The following is a 20691-nucleotide window of genomic DNA, read 5'->3' as shown; positions in this document are numbered from 1 at the left end:
AGTGAAGAAAAATGGATACCCTTTAAAGATGTTTTTAAATTAGAAGACAAAAAGAAGTCAAAAGGAATAAATCACAATTGTAAGGTGGATGCCTAATGATTCCCCATGGAAATTATTTAAAATTTGTCCTTGTTTGATGAGAGGAACGAGCAGAAGCACTGCCATGGCAGAGAACAACTCGCTGATGAAGCTTTCCCAGACGTTTTTCTTCTAAAGCTTTGGGTTTCTCAAAACACTCTCATAATAACCAGATGTTATTTTCTTTTTTATTTTTCTTTTTGGGACGGAGGCAGATGTTATTTTCTTTTGACCCTCCAGAAAGTTAACAAGCAAAATGCCTTGAATATCTCATAAAACTATTGCCATGACTTTTGCTCTTCACCATGTGCCCCTCTTGGTAGCCATTGCTTTGATTGTGCTTTGTCTTCAGGATTGTACTGGCAAAACCATGTTTCATCTGCTGTTACAATTCTTTCGAGAAATGCTTTAGGATCTCAATGCCAATTGTTTGAATTTTTCACTGAAAGCTCTTGTGTGCAGCTAATCTTAGCACAACAGTTTTGGCACCCATTGAGTGGAAAATTTGTTCAACTTTGATTTTTTAGTCAGAATTGTGTAAGCTAAACCAACTGAGATGCCTATGGTGTTTGGCCATTGCTTCTTCTGTGAATTGTTGGCCCTCTTCAGTTAGGCATGAATAAGATGAATTTTTTTCTCATAAATTGATGTGGATGGTCTGCTGCCATGGGCCTCATCTTCATCATCATCTCGTCCCTTCTTAAAATGAATTATCCATTTGGAAGCAGCTGATTTCTTTGGTGTACTATTCCCATAAATTTTTTGTAAAGTATCAATAATTTCACCATTCTTCCACCATGCTTCACCATAAATTTGGTATTTGTTCTTGCCTCAGTAATAGCAGAATACATGTTGCTCTGGATAGGGACTCTTTTCAAATTGATGTCTTACCCAAATCAGCAGGAATTTATTTTAGTGCCAAAAAAAAGTTTGAAATCCATGCATAGTTTTTTTTTTCATAATACATACCGTCCACAAACTTTTTGAAGATCCCTCATATAATCTCATTCCACTCTGTCCTGCGATGCTTCCACTGAGAAATGTGTGATATTCTTATGGAAAGTCTCTGTATATACCACATTGCCTTTCTCCTGTTGCCCTTAAGATTTTTGTTTTTGGAAAGTTGACTAGAATGTGTCTTAGTGTGAATTTCTTTAGTTTCATCATGACTGTAGTCCTTTGAGCTTCTTATATTTGGATATCTATTTCCTTTTTCACATTTGGAAGGTTTTGGCTATTGTAGTTTGAAAAATATTCTGTCCCTCATTTCCTCTATATTCCTCTTCTGAAATTCATGTAATGCATATATTGATTCACTTGATGGCGCCCCATAAGTCCCTTAGGCTTTCTTCATTTTTCCTTTTTCTTTTTGTTCCTCTGACTCAATAATTTCAAATGACCTGTCTTTGAGTTTGCTGATTCTTTCTCTTGCTTAATAAAGTCTGCTGTTGATCCCCTATAATTTTTTTTTTCAAATCAGTTACTGTATTCTTCAGCTTCAGAATTCCTGTTTAGTTATTTAGAATTCCTGTTTGGATCTTTACAGTTTCCATCTCTTAATTGATATTCTCATTTTATTCACAGTTTCATTGTATATGTTTTCTTGTAGTGCACTAATTTAAAATGTTCCTTTTAAACTATTTGTCAGGTAATTCACAGATCTCCATTTCTTTTGGGTCAGTTTACGGACAGTTATTTTGTTCTTCTGATTGGACCATATTTTCCCTGTTTGTGTGCCTTATATTTTGTTGTAATTTTTGTATTTGAATAAACGGTCACCTCTTCCAGTCTTTACAGACTGGTTTTGGATGGAAAAAGATCTTCACCAATCAGCCCAGCTAGAGATTCTGGCGGTCTCTCAAACCTTTTACAGAGATGAATTTTTTCTGAGCCTATGTGTGTAATTTCACAACCAGACAAAGTTTTCTGGTTTCTTTTTCAGGAGTCTACAGTCTCTTGCACCCTCTGGTGTCTGTTTGCAGTACTACGGGTATTTTGGTACTGCCACCAACCGCTGAGCTCTCTTGTTCTCAGCAGTCCCCAGGCAATCAAAGTATGCCTATTCCTCATCAGCACTCCAAGTCAAGCAAGGCAGAAACCAGTCACTTGAGTAGTCTCAAAAAGCCAGCACATTGGACATAATTCCATTTTACTCTTTTTCTCCCAAGGGAGAAACCAGTCACTGGACTTTTTTTCCTCATCATTAGCTGTGGTGGCTTGGGGAAGGGGCCGACTCAGATGAAATGAAACAGCTTTTCTTACCTGTTTCAAAACCATGGTTCTTGGTTTTAAACTGGAGTTCTGTGACTTCATAAGTGATTTCTGGCCTTCTCATAAAGGCTTTATTGGACCACATATTGTTAAGTCAGTATTTCTGTAGGGGTAGAAGTCTGGTGCTCCCTATTCCTCCATCTTGCTGACTGCAGACAGGCTTATTTTTGTAATCTCATAAAGCATTCTCTACATGAAGAATTTACAGTAAGGAAGTTTCTTTGATTTAGAACAAAGGTATGAAATATCTTAAACGTCCATTTCCGCCTCTCCCTTTCTGATTTTCTTTTTTTTTTTTTTTTTGCATTTAAAGTATATAAAGACATTGTACTGGACACACAATCTTATATACCATCTCACCTTCATCTCTGATTCCAGCGAGGCTACAGTAAACAGTTCGGCATAGGTATCAACCCACTTTGGGGTAACAATGTCTCATCTCAATCTTACACTAAACATACTTCTTTATTACTTCCCTAGGAGCTTGTTAGATATCTATACGTCTAAGTCTTAAGTGTATTAACACAGAATCGCAGGAAAGGCAGGCCCCAGAAGGCAACCCTTGACTCTCCTCAAGGAGGGAACAGAAGCTGACAGACCAATGCCTCTCTTTTTAATTCCTTAGGTGGACAATTTAGGGATATAGCTTCTGGGCCTCACCAGAAGTAGTAGTCATCCTCAGAAGTAACAAACTAGATAGTGCATCATTGTATTGGCTTTGCCTTTTTCTATTTGATTCTTCAATTCCCTCATTTCACTTCTTGGTCTTGTGGGGTGGAGGTACGTGACCCAGGCTATGATGTACATTAATCAGGGCCTTACTCTACGTGATCTCCTTTTGTTTTCTGTTAAAAAATACAGATACGTTTCCTCTCTTCCACTAGATTATATTCCTTTTAAAGGTAAAGGGCCTCATTTAATTCTGCAGTCCCATAATATGCACTCATGATTTTTGTCCAATACATGCAACAATTTCCCATTGTAGATGGCCTCACTAGTCCCAAATGATTTAAAATGAAAAAAAAAAACTTTCACAAGCTTGAAAGCTAATCATTTATGCAAAACTTTTAAAATCCAGATCCATTTTTATAATGTTTTGTTGCTAAAGCCCAGTTTTTAGACTTGGTCAAATATGCTCTATTTAGATAATGCATCTCAGATATCCATTTACTGATAGTAAATATATTTTTGAAGGTGATCTTTCTGTGTACGTAATAAGTGCCAACAATGTTTTAGTAAATTATAGATCCCTGAAGAAAAACGCTATAGATCTATAACAATCTCAGGTTTTCTTTTCCCATATAAAAAGTTCTAATTAAAAAAAATTCCCCCCAGATTAAAATAAACATGTCTTTACATGATTCCTCCTGCAAGACTCAAGCCAAACACACATTTCTCTGGCTTGAAGTTAAATCATTATATGAAATAACTAAAAAAGATAAAATCTTACCAAAACATTGCCTTTGCTTTAAGTGATGCTTTTAACAAACAAAAGAAAAAGCTCATGATAAAGGGATCAACTCAGAACATAGATAATACAAGATTTAGTGGTCTTCTGCGCAGAATAAGAGAAATACTGTGTTAGTTCTCAATAATCAACAAGCAATTAAAACAATTCTGAAAATACTTGAAATCTGGACAGATACAGATGTATTTTTTATTGAAATTTTACCCTAAGGCACAACATTACATTTTCCTGCCCTGCAACTCTAGTGGTTTAGATGCTAGATATCAATACTGGCACATGAAGCTTGATAGCTGGACATGTTAGCAGAGGAAAAGGAAAATGTGACAAAAAGATCCTACTTGAAGACGCATAAAATCTGTTGTTCACCTAGACAAGTATGTTAACACCAACAAGTCTCAACTATGATTTACACTGTAATCTCTGCTCAATTACCATAGAAAATCTTAAATTAGCTAAGCTCTAGCCCACAGAATTCAGGGTGTTGCAAATTTGACTGCCAAGATGTTAGAAAACAAAGCTTGTGGTTAGCTCTCTGACAAGTACTTGCTTCTCCAAAGCCGAGACACTTTAACTATCCTCTCTTTCTACCACATTTCCCATTTGCTGTGAATGCTCAGGTGTGGTAAAGATCAAGGCAAATCCCTACCAAAGCTACTCATGTATGGAGAACCAACTCAGCTTCTAACACCACGTTCAAAGTACCATTGGGTTTGTATTGTTTACTGTGCAGAAGACCCGGAATACTGGAACTGAAAGAGATTTTAAGGGGCATCTAATCCAAAACCCTGAGAGGCTGTCCAAGGTGGCGAAGTCAGTGGCAAGACTGGGTCATGAACTCAGGGCACCTAATTCCTAATCAACATTTTGTGGGGAGAAGTGGTTTATTTCCCTCTAACTCAAAATAACTCAATGATAATTTTAGTGCAGTGAGCAAGCTAACATAAAAGGTTATTCTTAATTTTGAGAATGGATTATCTCTTATCTGAGAAGATTTGAAATCACATTTAAACAAGTATCTAGAGATATATTATTCTAAGAACAAGATAATTCAGTGTCGGCAATGAAATAAACTGAAATTATATTAACCTTGACAAATTTCGATTTATAAAACTAATCCAGATTAGATACAAATATAATTAACATTAACCTCGCTTGAATTAAGTTTTGCATATCCTCATTCAAAACTCCACACTAATGTTCTATCACTAACAGTAAAACATTCTACATACGGCCTAGATTGAGGGTGAAGACAGATCATCTTGCATATGGAGAACTGCTCTGCCTTACTTGGGTAAGGCAGAACTGTTTGGCACTTCCTAAGGCCAAGCACGTGACTTTGCTTTAAAGCTCCATTCCATGAGGTCAATGCCAGGTCCGCTAGCCCAAAATGAACAAACTTTTTAATCCAGATCCATCATGGGTCATTTATTCTATAAACACAGTCCAGATATTTTCACAGCTCTGGGCCAGATGCCACAGAGGAACAGAATATGAATTTGAAAAATACCAACTATTTACAGGGCACCAATTGTGTGCCAGCCTTACAAATGTTATCATAACCCTACATGAGACATATTATTATTCTGTTTTGTAAAGGGAGAAACTGAGAAAGCATAACCAAAGCTAGTAGAAGGCAGAGCTTTGCAACACCTGCATTCTCACTGAGAATTCTAACCCACCCGAGCCTGACACCAAGCTCCTCTGCATTTCAGCAGGGCACTCAAGAAGCAATGTAGATGTGTGGTATTATTTCTGAAGGCTCTGTTCTGTTCCATTGGTCTATATCTACAACCATCTGGTCTATGACAAACCTGGCAAAAACAAGAAATGGGGAAAGGATTCCCTATTTAATAAATGGTGCTGGGAAAACTGGCTAGCCGTATGTAGAAAGCTGAAACCGGATCCCTTCCTTACACCTTATACAAAAACTAACTCAAGATGGATTAAAGACTTAAATGTTAGACCTAAAACCATAAAAAGCCTAGAAGAAAACCTAGACAATACTATTCAGGACACAGGCATGGGCAAGGACTTCACGACTAAAAACACAAAAAGCAATGGCAACAAAAGCCAAATTTGACAAATGGGATCTAATTAAACTAAAGAGCTTCTGCACAGCAAAAGAAACTACCATCAGAGTGAACAGGCAACGTACAGAATAGGAGAAAATTTTTACAATCTACCCATCTGACAAAGGGCTAATATCCAGAATCTACAAAGAACTTAAACAAATTTACAGGAAAAAATCAACCCCATCAAAAAGTGGGCCAAGCATATGAACAGACACTTCTCAAAAGACATTTATGCAGCCAAAAAACACATGAAAAAATGTTCATCATCACTGGCCATCAGAGAAATGCAAATCAAAACCACAATGAGATACCATCTCACACCAGTTAGAATGGCAATCATTAAAAAGTCAGGAAACAACAGGTGCTGGGGAGGATGTGGAGAAATAGGAACACTTTTAAACCGTTGGTGGTACTGTAAACTAGTTCAACCATTGTGGAAGACAGTGTGGTGATTCCTCAAGGATCTAGAACTAGAAATACCATTTGACCCAGCAATCCCATTACTGGGTATATACCCAAAGGATTATAAATCATGCTGCTATAAAGATACATGCACATGTATGTTTATTGTGGCACTATTCACAATAGCAAAGACTTGGAACCAACCCAAATGTCCATCAATGATAGACTGAATTAAGAAAATGTGGCACATATACACCATGGAATACTATGCAGCCATAAAAAAGGATGAGTTCATGTCCTTGGTAGGGCATGGATGAAGCGGGAAACCATCATTCTCAGCAAACTATCGCAAGGACAGAAAACCAAACACCGCATGTTCTCACTCTTAGGTGGGAATTGAACAATGAGAACACTTGGACACAGGGTGGGGAACATCACACACTGGGTCCTGTCGTGGGGTGGGGGGAGCAGGGAGGGATAGCATTAGGAGATACACCTAATGTAAATGATGAGTTAATGGGTGCAGCACACCAATATGACACATGTGATGAGTTAATGGGTGCAGCACACCAACATGACACATGTATACATATGTAACAAACCTGCAGGTTGTTCACATGTACCCTAGAAGTTAAAGTATAATTAAGAAAAAAAGAAAGAAACAATGTAACCTATTCGGGAGGGTGGTTTGTCATCCTAAACTCAGCTATGATACATCTCCACAACATACAAAAGTCTAGACCTTACAACAACCCTAATTGGAAAACTAGTGTCTAGGTCTACTTGGAATTCCAAAAAGAAATCAGGGCTCCAAATTTAAAGTGTTTACAGCTTTTTTTTTTCTCTGTAAAGTACAGATCCCAATGGGCATCTGTATGTCATGAGTTGTTGCTGAGAAGCTGAGATGACCGCACAGGCATAAATCACCAAAGACAATGTCCCACACAAAGTAAGAGATAATACAAATTGGCTGCTGCTTTTGCAACTACCATCATTCTTCAGTACTCAGATTCCTCAAATTTCTTCCTCAGAATACAGTCACGAAGAAAAAAAAGCCATGTAATCACATTCGTTATTAGGTAGTTCATAACTATAAAAAATTTTTTTCAACCAAATGTACTATTATTCAACCACAGAATTCTGAAAACTGCTTAGAAATACAGAAAACATTTAATAGATTAAAATACTGAATACAAAGCAGTAAATACTATACCAGCAACTACATAAACTCTAATTCAAGGCAGAAAAATGAAAATGGTTGTTAGGATGGTGAGATTACTGACGATTATTTTTCTTTTTAAAAAGCTTCCTTGTATTGCTTTAAAAAATTTTTTTTATTATTAAAGTTTTAGGGTACATGTACACAACGTGCAGGTTAGTTACATATGTATACATGTGCCATGTTGGTGTGCTGCACCCATTAACTCATTATTTAACATTAGGTATATGTCCTAATGCTATCCCTCCCCCCTCCCCCCACCCCACAACAGGCCCCAGTGTGTGATATTCCCCTTCCTGTGTCCACGTGTTCTCATTGTTCAATTCCCACCTATGAGTGAGAACATGCGGTGTTTGGTTTTCTGTCCTTGCGATAGTTTGCTGAGAATGATGGTTTCCCGCTTCATCCATGCCCTACCAAGGAGATGAACTCATCCTTTTTTATGGCTGCATAGTATTCCATGGTGTATATGTGCCACATTTTCTTAATTCAGTCTATCATTGATGGACATTTGGGTTGGTTCCAAGTCTTTGCTATTGTGAATAGTGCCACAATAAACATACATGTGCATGTTATCTTTATAGCAGCATGATTTATAATCCTTTGGGTATATACCCAGTAATGGGATTGCTGGGTCAAATGGTATTTCTAGTTCTAGATCCCTGAGGAATTGCCACACTGACTTCCACAATGGTTGAACTAGCTTACAGTACCACCAACAGTGTAAAAGTGTTCCTATTTCTCCACATCCTCTCCAGCACCTGTTGTTTCCTGACTTTTTAATGACTGCCATTCTAACTGCTGTGAGATGGTATCTCATTGTGGTTTTGATTTGCATTTCTCTGATGGCCAGTGATGATGAGCATTTTTTCATGTGTCTGTTGGCTGCAAAAGTGTCTTCTTTTGAGAAGTGTTTGTTCATATCCTTCGCCCACTTGTTGATGGGGTTGTTTGATTTTTTCTTGTAAATTTGTTGGAGTTCATTGTAGGTTCTGGATATTAGCCCTTTGGGAGATGAGTAGATTGCAAAAATTTTTTCCCATTCTGTAGGTTGCCTGTTCACTCTGATGGTAGTTTCTTTTGCTGTGCAGAAGCTCTTTAGTTTAATTAGATCCCATTTGTCAATTTTGGCTTTTGTTGCCATTGCTTTTGGTGTTTTAGACATGAAGTCCTTGCCCATGCATATGTCCTGAATGGTAATGCCTAGGTTTTCTTCTAGGGTTTTTATGGTTTTAGGTCTAATATTTAAGTCTTTAATCAATCTTGAATTAATTTTTGATCAATCTTGAATTAAGGTGTAAGGAAGGGATCCAGTTTCAGCTTTCTACATATGGCTAGCCAGTTTTCCCAGCACCATTTATTAAATAGGGAATCCTTTCCCCATTGCTTGTTTTTCTCAGGTTTGTCAAAGATCAGATGGTTGTAGATATGCGGCATTATTTCTGAGGGCTCTGTTCTGTTCCATTGATCTATATCTCTGTTTTGGTATCAGTACCATGCTGTTTTGGTTACTGTAGCCTTGTAGTATAGTTTGAAGTCAGGTAGCGTGGTGCCTCCAGCTTTGTTCTTTTGGCTTAGGATTGACTTGGCAATGCGGGCTTTTTTTGGTTCCATATGAACTTTAAAGTAGTTTTTTCCAATTCTGTGAAGAAAGTCATTGGTAGCTTGATGGGGATGGCATTGAATCTATAAATTACCTTGGGCAGTATGGCCATTTTCACAATATTGAGTCTTCCTACCCATGAGCATGGAATGTTCTTCCATTTGTTTGTATCCTCTTTTATTTCATTGAGCAGTGGTTTGTAGTTCTCCTTGAAGAGGTCCTTCACATCCCTTGTACGTTGGATTCCTAGGTATTTCATTCTCTTTGAAGCAATTGTGAATGGGAGTTCACTCATGATGTGGCTGTTTGTCTGTTATTGGTGTATAAGAATGCTTGTGATTTTTGCACATTCATTTTGTATCCTAAGACTTTGCTGAAGTTGTCTATCAGCTTAAGGAGATTTTGGGCTGAGACGATGGGGTTTTCTAGATATACAATCATGTCATCTGCAAACAGGGTCAATTTGACTTCCTCTTTTCCTAATTGAATACCCTTTCTTTCTTTCTCCTGCCTGATTGCCCTGGCCAGAACTTCCAACACTATGTTGAATAGGAGTGGTGAGAGAGGGCATCCCTGTCTTGTGCCAGTTTTCAAAGGGAATGCTTCCAGTTTTTGCCCATTCAATATGATACTGGCTGTGGGTTTGTCATAGATAGCTCTTATTATTTTGAGATACGTCCCATCAATACCTAATTTATTGAGAGTTTTTAGCATGAAGCTTTGTTGAATTTTGTCAAAGGCCTTTTCTGCATCTATTGAGATAATCATATGGTTTTTGTCGTTGGTTCTGTTTATACGTTGGATTACGTTTATTGATTTGCGTATGTTAAACCAGCCTTGAATCCCAGGGATGAAGCCAACTTGATCGTGGTGGATAAGCTTTTTGATGTGCTGCTGGATTCGGTTTGTCAGTATTTTATTGAGGATTTTTGCATCGATGTTCATCAGGGATATTGGTCTAAAATTCCCTTTTTTTGTTGTGCTCTGCCAGGCTTTGGTATCAGGATGATGCTGGCCTCATAAAATGAGTTAGGGAGGATTCCCTCTTTTTCTATTGATTGGAATAGTTTCAGAAGGAATGGTACCAGCTCCTCCTTGTACCTCTGGTAGAATTCAGCTGTGAATCTATCTGGTTCTGGACTTTTTTTGGTTGGTAAGCTATTAATTATTGCCTCAATTTCAGAGCCTGTTATTGGTCTATTCAGAGATTCAACTTCTTCCTGGTTTAGTCTTGGGAGGGTGTATATGTCGAGGAATTAATCCATTTCTTCTAGATTTTCTAGTTTATTTGCATAGAGGTGTTTATAGTATTCTCTGATGGTAGTCTGTAGTTCTGTGGGATCGATGGTGATATCCCCTTTATCATTTTTTATTGTGTCCATTTGATTCTTCTCTCTTTTCTTCTTTATTAGTCTTGCTAACGGTCTATCCATTTTGTTGGTCTTTTCAAAAAACCAGCTCCTGGATTCACTGATTTTTTGAAGGGTTTTTTGTGTCTCTATTTCCTTCAGTTCTCCTCTGATCTTAGCTATTTCTTGCCTTCTGCTAGCTTTTGAATGTGTTTGCTCGTTTCTCTAGTTCTTTTAATTGTGATGTTAGGGTATCAATTTTAGATCTTTCCTGCTTTCTCTTGTGGGCATTTAGTCCTATAAATTTCCCTCTACACACTGCTTTGAATGTATCCCAGAGATTCTGGTATGTTGTGTCTTTGTTGTCGTTGGTTTCAAAGAACATGTTTATTTCTGCCTTCATTTCATTATGTACCCAGTAGTCATTCAGGAGCAGGTTGTTCAGTTTCCAAGTAGTTGAGCGGTTTTGAGGGAGTTTCTTAATCCTGAGTTCTAGTTTGATTGCACTGTGGTCTGAGAGACAGTTTGTTATAATTTCTGTTCTTTTACATTTGCTAAGGAGTGTATTGCTTTAAAAATTTCTACAATGAAAAGTGTGTTTTTAAATTATTTCATAATATATTACATAGGTATCTATTATGCCTAACTTAATGGGAGTCTGCAGGAAAACCAAATGCATTGTGAGCCTACTGTGCAATATGACAATATTGCCCTCCGCAAGAATATATAGATTTGTGCTCCTCCCCCAAGTCCCTTACAACAAGCCACTATAAACAACATACCAGTTATAAATTATGTTCCCAGACTAAAATGCTTCAAGATGGTTTAATAATGTGGAAAAAGTACTAGCTTCAAGGGTAAAGGAAATCAAAGAAAGAAAAGAGTCTGATTCTTAACTTCAATGATTTCACCATCCTCTAACCACCTTGCAATGTTTCTCAAAGTGTGATCCTGGGACCATCTCCATTAGACTCACAAAAGATTCTTTCCAAAATGCCAATCCTGCCAACACCACTCTCAAACCTACAAAGTTGGAATCTGAGAGGGAAGGCCAAAGTGTACTCCCTCAAAAAAAAAAAAAAAAAAAAAAAAAAAAAAAAAAAAAACACCACATTCCCTGGCTGATTTTCATGCCCACAACTTTTAAAAAATACTGATCCACAAACATGCTAAGCAGGTAAGATAAAATTCACTTCAATTTTTCAGCAAAAAAAGGCAAAACGGAGATCTAACTTTATATTGGTAATTCAATTGCTTTCTAATAATGGACTGTGGGAACCGCAGGTATAAGGAGCAGATTACCCTGCAGATTTGTTGTCTCTTCTGCCTAACCTGCAAAACTTCCCAGAAAATAATTTTGCAAAATTGATCAGGAACCTTAAAATTTCCATGTCCTTTGCTCCCCAAAATTTCACTAATAAGGTTTTTCCTATGAGAATAATAAAAAATGCATAAAAGGCTTTTAGGCAGAAGTGGTTGGGACAGCGGGCTAAATATTTATCATCTGCCATATCTTGAGTACCTGCTCCGCACCTGGCACTTGTGGATACAGTATTTCTAATCCTCACAACCTAGAAGATAGATACTTTTTATCTCCATTTTAGAGATGAGAAGCCAAATGAGTTATTAATTTGTCCCAGGCCACATGGCTAATAATCAGGATCTGAATCCCGGGCAGTTTGAGTAGAAACACTGGACTCATTCCACTGTCTAGCCACCTAAAAATATTCTAAAATGTTGTAGTGTTTAAACAAAGTATACTACAACAAAAGAATTATACAGACACCGGAAACCATGTTCTTCAAGAACCTTTAATGAAACAGAAAATACTTATGATTCAACGCTAAGTGAAAAAGATAGGAGGTATGATCCCAGTGTAGAATTTAAGTCACAGAAGGGTAGGGCCAGTAACTCTTTTGGTTTCATCTGCATCCCCAAAGCTCAACACTGCACCTGACATATGGTACAAACTCAAAATGCATGGCAAAAATAAATTATGTGTGGGCATATTTTCAAAAGACCAGGAAAAAAATTCCTAAAATATCATCAGTGGTTATTGCTGGATTCTGGAGTTAGGGATGACTTGGTTTTTCTTTTTTACTTATGTTTATACTTTCAAGTATTCTATATAGGTTTGTATTACTTTTAAAATCGAGGGGGAAAAAACAGCAATGGCTAATTTTCAAATCCTATGTTTAATCACCTTTCTATATAAGAGATACAGTTAAGCTCCAGATCAACTCAATATGCAGACTAATATGTGGTTTATCATTCTCACTATAACAGGGAAACCACCTGATACCTAGAAAGTGTTATCTTTTTATATGCCAGCATCATAAATGGGAACAAGATTTAATACTTGTTACAAATACAAACATTTTCATCATCCACAGCTATTAGTAGCCTGATAGGTAGGAAAAGGATTTACAAATGTATAGCACCCACAATGCTTCTATGATGGTTTTGTGCTCTCTGGAGACTGCCCTAGATGGTAGTACGATAAGGATTAGACATTGAATTTGGTGGCTTTTGCAGCATAACAAGATTTTCTTGCCAAGATCATCCCCACACACCAAAACCACTATAAATTAGCAATAAAATTGCGCCTCATTCCTGGTAGTTTATTAAATATTTCATATAAAGGAATATATGTGGTCACTATTACCCTATGTATTTTTTAAGTAAGAACAGTATCTTAAAACGAACTAAGAATGAGTCAACTGGTCTATTTTATTAGCTCACTATTTTGGACAATTTCAGACGACAAAACATGGGATGATAATTCTATCAAACTGTCTCCAAAACGGTTCTGAACAAATTCTGGCTTTGTTGGCCAGATTATACCTAAGTGACCAATCTATGAAAAGCCAAAAGGGCGAGGCATGAACTACACTGAACCTGTCAATTCTAAACCAAATCTGACATGTGTGGACAGTGGGAGGAGGGAGGACAGAAAAGATATCTTAAGATAATAAAAAGTGAAATAAGCATTTTTATTGTACCATGTAATTTTCTATGGAAAAAAAAACATTTGACATGGAGAAAACAATGGAGAATTTTTAGAGATAGTTCCAGTACTCAGTGGTCCTAGATTCTGTTCATAAAAGGAGTAACAAGATGAGAAGAGCTTTAGATGATCAGAGTTGGTTTCCTCTTTGGTATTTAGGTTTACTTCTGGACTATGCCAAGAAAGAAATTCTAGGGAGCCTCTCAGAACCTATTCTGGTTCAGGGGCTGCCTGATGAAAAAAAATTATAATTTAAAAAAAGGAAAGAAAGAAATTCTACTGATATATAATGTTACTGAATAACATAAGTTCCTACAGATTATCAGCACAGTCCAAAGTCTCCAATACAGGTAAGCTTTGACTTCAGTCACAATTTGCAATTTTGAGTCCTAATGCTCCTCCACTTTGCCCACTGTGAGGAAAATATGGGGTAAAACATTCAGCATCCATTCTGACCCCCTTCTTCTTTGCCTACTTCCACTAGTGAGGCTGGAAAAAGAAGATACATTCCCAGAGTCTTTTGCAGCAAAAGGTGGCCAAAGAAGTACAGACAGAAGTTCCAGGAGAGAGAATTCTTTGTCACATAAAAATGCAAAATCTCTAAGAGAAAATAATTTTTCTTCTTCCGCCTTTTTCCTGCATAAACCAGACACACCTCAAAACACAGCCACAGCCACAGTGCAAAAATAAGGCAAAAAGCCACAGGCTGAAGATGGTGGAGGCAGGGAAGAGGGAAGACACGGGGCTCCTGATGCCCTTGAGCAGCTCTTGGAGCCTGGACTGCTTAGCCCCAGACTTCTCATTAGGTGAGAAGGACAAACCCCTGGCTTGTTTAAGCCACTCTGTGTCAGGTTTCCTGTTAGTCGCAGCCAAATACATTCTTGCCTGTAAAAGTCATTGGTATAACAAACCTCTCTAGCTATGTATTTATCAATGATCAACTTCACCAAAACCCTCCAAGTCTTCATAGAGATAAGTGACTGAGAGTGCTTGCTCCATGCCCGTGAGCGTGAGGTTTTACTGCCCCTCTCAGTGCATCCTCACGGAACTCTACGAGAAGCAAAGTGAGGACCTCCTCAATCCAAGTTAGTCTGAAAGCAGCTCCTGGGCTCTTTACTGCCAAGCTATACAACCTCTGATGTGTTTTTTCACTTAATCTATAAAGCAATTTTAATTGCAACTATGCTCTCTGGATCAAATAAATTGTCATAACAAACTTTTCTAATTTTTTGAGGAAGACTTTCACTAAAACACATCAAACACACCCCCCCCCCCCCAACACACACATACACAAAGGATTCACATGCAATTAGAAGAAAAAAGAAAAAAAGACTTGGCAAGTATTTGCTTTCTAGTGTTTTGAAATCTTTATCCATCATGTGAGACAGTACTGCTGCATCTGAACTGATGTTTATTAAGCACCATCAACCTGGCACTGAACTAAGCATATTACATACATTCTCACACTCAGCATTCACAATATCACCGTAAAGTAGGACTATTATTATCCCCATTTTACAGGTGAGCAAATGAAACATGTTAACCCAGGCAGAGTATTTTCTTCAAAAAACCTTCTTTCTACACACCAATGAATGACTCAAATTCAGAGCAACTTACAACCAGAAGAGAGATTAACTGATTTCGCTGCTAGTCTTTAGTAAACCATACTAGAAATGAATGGCTCAGGACCAGTCAAATAATGAAAAATACTCAAAGCAAGAACAATTTACAACTAAAAAGGGTGAAAAGCCCTCTCGTCCTGAGCAAAATCTAGAACTCCACACTCATGTCTAATGGAGCTTTACTTAGTATTTACCCACCCACCTTTACAAGTATACTCAACACATGGCAAGCTACCAGGGAGGCCAATAATAATATTTAGATAGCTGTGCATGTTCATTAATCGTAAGATAATTTAAGACCAAACTAAAGTTTCCAATATACTTGATTTTCATGATCAATATAAGAAAGTGCATTTTATACATAATGATTTACTGTGAATATTGTTATTAGCTTATTCAGCACTTCCTATGTTGCCAGCACTGGGATGACTTACATACACCTTTTTCCTCTTCATTTTCAAAACTACCTCAGGAGGTAAGTACTACCATTAACTGCCCCATTTGAGAAATGAGGTCGCCAAGTGATGGATTCTCCCAAGCTCCCTATTAAAATGTAGCATCAAGATTCAAATCTAGATTTGGCCCACAGCCCTGTGCTATTAATCTCTAAGCTCATAAATGTATTTGATTTGTTTTTGCTGTTTATTAGCCTTGATCAAGCATTAGCTAGAAAACTCTGTTTATTTAAGCTTTACTCTTTATCTTCACTTTCAGTACTCCCCCATTTTCACACATTTTTGGCTTCATATTTCTTCCCGCTCTCATGAAAAAAGTCTAAATTATTATCTGTTCATCAAATCATTTTAAAAATCCACTAAAGTTTGCTGAATTAAAGAGATAACATAGTTGCTGCTCCTACTGTTAATCAATGATGTACAACAACCTCTGTTTCAGTGGCTAACTCTGCTACTCAACCGAGCAGTAGCAAATGACCCCAGTTCTGCCTATCACTGCAAAAATGCAACATGGTTCTTAAAGTCTTTGGCAGCAGTATCATAAAATCCCACCAGATGTCAATCTCCTTTCATGAAAATAGGCCATTCCTCCCCACCACAGGTCCCACTTTTTAACACTTACCATTTTCTCTACTGAAAGAAGGGATTCCCAAACTTTGAAAATACCTATGCTTCTGAATTTTATATGGGAAATTTTTTTTAAATAATAATTTGAAGTGCTGTGTTATATATGGGAATTTTTAATTTTATAGTACACATATATGTTTTTACAAAGAAAAATACTTTAAAAAAGAAAAGTATTAATATAGGAATCCTGTGATTGCCTCAGTACTCTGGCAAACACCAAGACTGTATCTCTGATTCTCTTGACTCAATTATTTCTTACTTTCTCCCAGACTTCCTGCTATAACACTCTCCTCCCTTTCCTCCCTGATAACTCAGTTGAGTTAATGTGAGTTATGATATGTAACTTATAACTTTGAGTTAATTTAACTAAAATTTAATTGGCTTACATAAATCAATACTATTATTTCACATGATGCATGAAATTTACATTTGAAGATCAGTATTAAATAAAGAAATTATATAAGGATTTTCTTTATCATTAAAAATGCTGTCTATGGTATTCATTCCAAGACTTACCACACCCATCAAAAACCTAAACTTGAAAATAAATTTCCATTTATAAAACTGTAAACTAATAAAACTGATAATCTTCACTTACAGCAAAAACATCAGATACTCTGCATGGTTGTTTCGAAGTAGTAATTAGACCCCAACCTGCCAGTAAAAAACCATGAAAAAAGAGTGATATTTCCCTACATTGTTGGCCTGGTGGTTTTTATCTGCAACAATTCTTTTAAGTTTTAATGATCATCTAAGAATGGTATTTCATTTATTTGACTACTACCCTATTGCCCATATATTAACCTCACTGAATTTTTGGTCCATTGCGTAGAAGAATTTATCTACTAATAAAAATACAACTCATTAAAGATTAACTTGCCCCCAGGACAGTCTCTCTGGAAACAAATTCCAAGCATTATAATCACCAATTTGCACTCTGAATACTTAAAGGCAGATAATCTTATTTATCCTGATTTAAATTGGAAACCTGTACCTATTTTAAGTCAATTGTAAATAGAAAAATAGCACACCCAAATTCACAATAATTGAAAACTCAAATACAGACTTTACTTACTTGGCACTTTTCAAATAAAAAGCTTTCCACCCAAGAATATCTAACAATATTAGAATGCTTATTGACTTGATAGACTTACTTCTTTAGTTTCTATTTTACTTCTGCAATTATGAACCTGCAAAATTATTTTGTTCCCCAACTATTTATTAAGTATATACTATATTTCATACATTGTGGTAGGCACTGGAAATCCTTTTAATCCATGATGCAATATTTATTATTAATAATAACAACAGATATTCATTAAGTTCTTATCATTGACCAAACACTGTGGGCAAATGTTAGCTTGTTAGGCATTATCTCTTTCGATTCTCCCAAAACCTAAAAGGTCCTAGTATCAGCTCCATTTTACAGATGGGCAAACTGAAGGCAAAGAGAGGCCTAGCAACTTTCCTGAGATCCTACAGAGTTTTGAACCCAGGTATTAGTGATCCCAGTGCTCACACTTGTGTTTTGGTCAACAACTAACCACATACACTACAATGGTCCCGTAAGATTATAAAGAAGCTGAAAAATTCCTATCGCCTAGTGATGTCATAGCCATAGTAACATAACACATTACCTTTCCAATGTTTAGATATATTTAGATACACAAATACCACTGTGCCACAACTGTCTACAGTATTGGGTATAGTAACACGCCTTGTAGCCTAGTAACATTATTTGTAGCCTAGGAGCAATAGACTATACCATATAGCTTAGGTAGTAGGTGTAGCAGGCTACACAACCTAGGTTTGTGTAACTACACTCCATGATGTTTGCACAATGAAAATGCCTAAGGACACATTTCTAACAAGGTATCCCAGTCGTAGTCCTTAAGCATGGACTGCATGACTGTATATCGGTTGTTCAAGAGATGTTAAGACTTTCTGTAAAAGAAACTATTACTGCAAAGCAATTTCAAACCGTCTCAGATCGTAGTATCACATCTATTAATACAAAAGAGCCTTCAAATTTTCAAAAAGTCTCCTCAAAATTTCATTTTATTCGAAGTGAAAATGAATTAAATCAAAAAAGGAAATTCACTTCTAAAGCTCAGGTTATACACTTGAACTTCCCAGAAGCTAACATCACTGTCCTTACTTGTTTGTGCGCAGGTGAAACAGATCATTCTTTCATATCACTCCAAACTAATGTAGAAAACTGAAAGCTGGTTGAAAAGGATGAGTATGTGCTACTATCAGTTCATTCCAAACGATCTCACAATATATGCCTGACATAAATTTAATATTTTGTTTTATAATCATAAACTAGGCAAAAAGAACCACAGAACAGACGAAATAACTGAAATGAGTTACTGAAATGCAACTGGGGCTTTAATTTCCAAATCTATCTTATAACGGTCTTACTTGAAGAGTTTATCACAGAAGTAACTGTCCTCAAAAGTTACATAATTTGAGAAAAAAAGAGAGGGAAGGGGAGAGACAGAGAAAGACATGACACACATTAGGGATGTTTGTCAATAAAAATAAGCAACAAGGGAGGAAAGCCTGTAGCACATCCAAAAAACGTCTGCCAAACACTCTTGCTATTTGTTTCCACCAAGTTATTGTTTTGGAAAACATGTTGTTCTCTCTTAAAATAACCTGCTTAATTGTTCTAAAAAGCCACTGCATTTCCACAGAGGGCTAAATCATTCCCATACTGCGATGCATTGACTGATAAAGTCAAAGTAAGTTATGCATAAAGCCACAAATAACGTTTGAAAAACTCCAAACTCCTCCATGATAAAAGAACACTAGCTACTGAATGAATCTTCACCAGCGCCCTAAGTGAGACTAACGCCTGGTCCCGTACACGTATTTTAAGAATAACAGTCATTCAAACTAACTCATTTCTCTCTTTGGATGTGGGAAATGAGCCACATCGGTGGCTACAGGTAGGCTAGTAATTATCTGTTTTAAGAAAGGTCAAAATGACCTTGGACGTTTTGACGTTCACTCCAACACTCGTATTATAAATCAGAATCTGTTTTCGGTCCAGTATGGTTGAAGATTTTCTACCTGGGAAAGTCCCAAAGAAATTAAAGAGTTAAAAATAATTCTAAGTTGTGAAAGACAAAGTCAGACACCCATAGCATAGGAAGATTTTTATGGACTGAATGTAACTCAAGATGTGTTTTATAAGCCTGTCAAGAGATGAACACTGTCCTCAAACACAGCAGCACTGCCTCCACACTCCCCCCTCGCTTTGGCTGCTCACCCCGATCCTGGCCCTCCTTGACCACAGGGGTGGGGGCGGGAGCTCCTGTCTTAAGCCTTGACATCTGCAGAGCGTTTCCCAATAGTGAGACAAGGCCCCTCAGCTGGAGGAAGTGGATACTGACAAGGGGAGAGAGTGAAACAGACGGAGAGAGACAGAACTCGAGGCTGCCAGGGAATGGGGAGGGTCACGCATACTCTGTGCGGCCCGAGTGGTCCGGATGGCACAGCCCAGGTGTCCGGGCTAAAGTTGGCATCTCCAAAGTCCAGAACGCAACTTGGGCGCGCCAGTACAAACTCGGCCTTCGGCTTTTCTGAAGCCAGTCAAGTTCGCACAGGGCCCCCAGCGCCTGGAAATCTGAGAGGCGTGGAAGGGTGGGGAGTCCCGCGAAGTCTCCAGTCCCTGGGTGTCCTCCGGCTCCGCGGGGGAGCGGGCCTGGAGCTAAACCGGCCGGCCGTAGGCTGGAGTAGCGGGCGCCGGAGCGCGCGGTGGGGATGTCCGAAAAGGAGTTAGAGGCTCAGTCGGAGAGTCCGAGAACACGAGGGATGCCTACCTTGTAACATGGCCTCAAGTTTCTTCCTGTCCACGCGGAAGCGCTCCTCGCTCCACTCCGGGCTGTGCAGGGTCGCCCCGGCGACCAAGTCGTCCTCGGAGCCGGGCACTGGGGAGTCGGTGCTGCGCTCGCTGTTGGAGCCGGGGTCCGACTGCGCCGCCAGGTAGCCGGGCTCTCCCTGGGCGGCCATGGTGGGCGCGCAGCGCTCGGGCTCCCGCTGCCGCCGCCGCTCTGCCTGCGCTGCCGCCTCCGCTCGCCGGCCGGGCTCAACTGGCTCCCAGCGCCGCGGCGCTAGCTCGTCCCCCTGCAGCCGCCGACGCCACCGCCAACGCCGCCGCCGCCACTGAGCCCCCGGCGCATCCCAGCCCCGGGCGCCGCCCACGCCACCCGCCACCCCGGGTCGCGGCCCCGGTCCGGGTCCAGTGGCTGCGCCGCCCCCCGCCAGCAACGCCCGCGCGGAATGAGCGCGCCGCGCTGCCCGCGCCTCCATCCGCAGGGCTCGGCGCCCCCTCCCCGCCCGCCGCCCCTACAGCCGCGCGCTCATTGGCCCGGCCAGCCCACGGGGAGCCGCGGCGGGCGGGCGGCCCCTGGCGCTCACACACTCGCGCGCGCACACACACACCACGTACACACTGCCACTTTCTGCACTTACACGTATAAATCCTTTCCATACATGCACTTTCATAGC

The 20691-nt window shown here is 38.9% G+C and overlaps 1 protein-coding gene across 9 annotated transcripts in view, besides 1 other annotated feature; it reads right to left on the bottom strand.

The window, feature by feature from the left end:
* The window catches only part of BICC1 (BicC family RNA binding protein 1), a 319216-nt gene that overhangs the window by 298099 nt on the left and 426 nt on the right, over positions 1-20691 (bottom strand). For 7 of the 9 annotated variants that reach the window (XM_047425778.1, XM_017016678.2, XM_047425779.1 and 4 more), the window contains exon 1: positions 20004-20465. The exons of the other annotated variants lie outside the window; for them this stretch is intronic. Coding sequence is in view for 3 of the 7 variants with exons in the window: in XM_011540185.3 (XP_011538487.1) it covers positions 20004-20193 (190 nt within the window). In the remaining 4 variants the exon portion in view is untranslated. Of the gene's footprint in view, positions 1-20003; positions 20466-20691 lie in introns of those variants that run through there. 9 annotated transcript variants of the gene reach the window in all.
* Positions 1926-1985: a silencer, noted in NCBI's record as "silent region_2380". NCBI's record gives its function as "represses an Ori minimal core promoter by ATAC-STARR-seq in GM12878 lymphoblastoid cells {active_cell/tissue: GM12878}" and the evidence as "EXISTENCE:reporter gene assay evidence [ECO:0000049][PMID:35858748]".

This window comes from Homo sapiens, chromosome 10, assembly GCF_000001405.40.
Source record: "Homo sapiens chromosome 10, GRCh38.p14 Primary Assembly".
NCBI classification, from domain to species: Eukaryota; Metazoa; Chordata; class Mammalia; order Primates; family Hominidae; genus Homo; species Homo sapiens.
The sequence above is the reverse complement of the archived record's forward strand: the minus strand, read 5'-3'. Positions and strand labels throughout refer to the sequence as shown.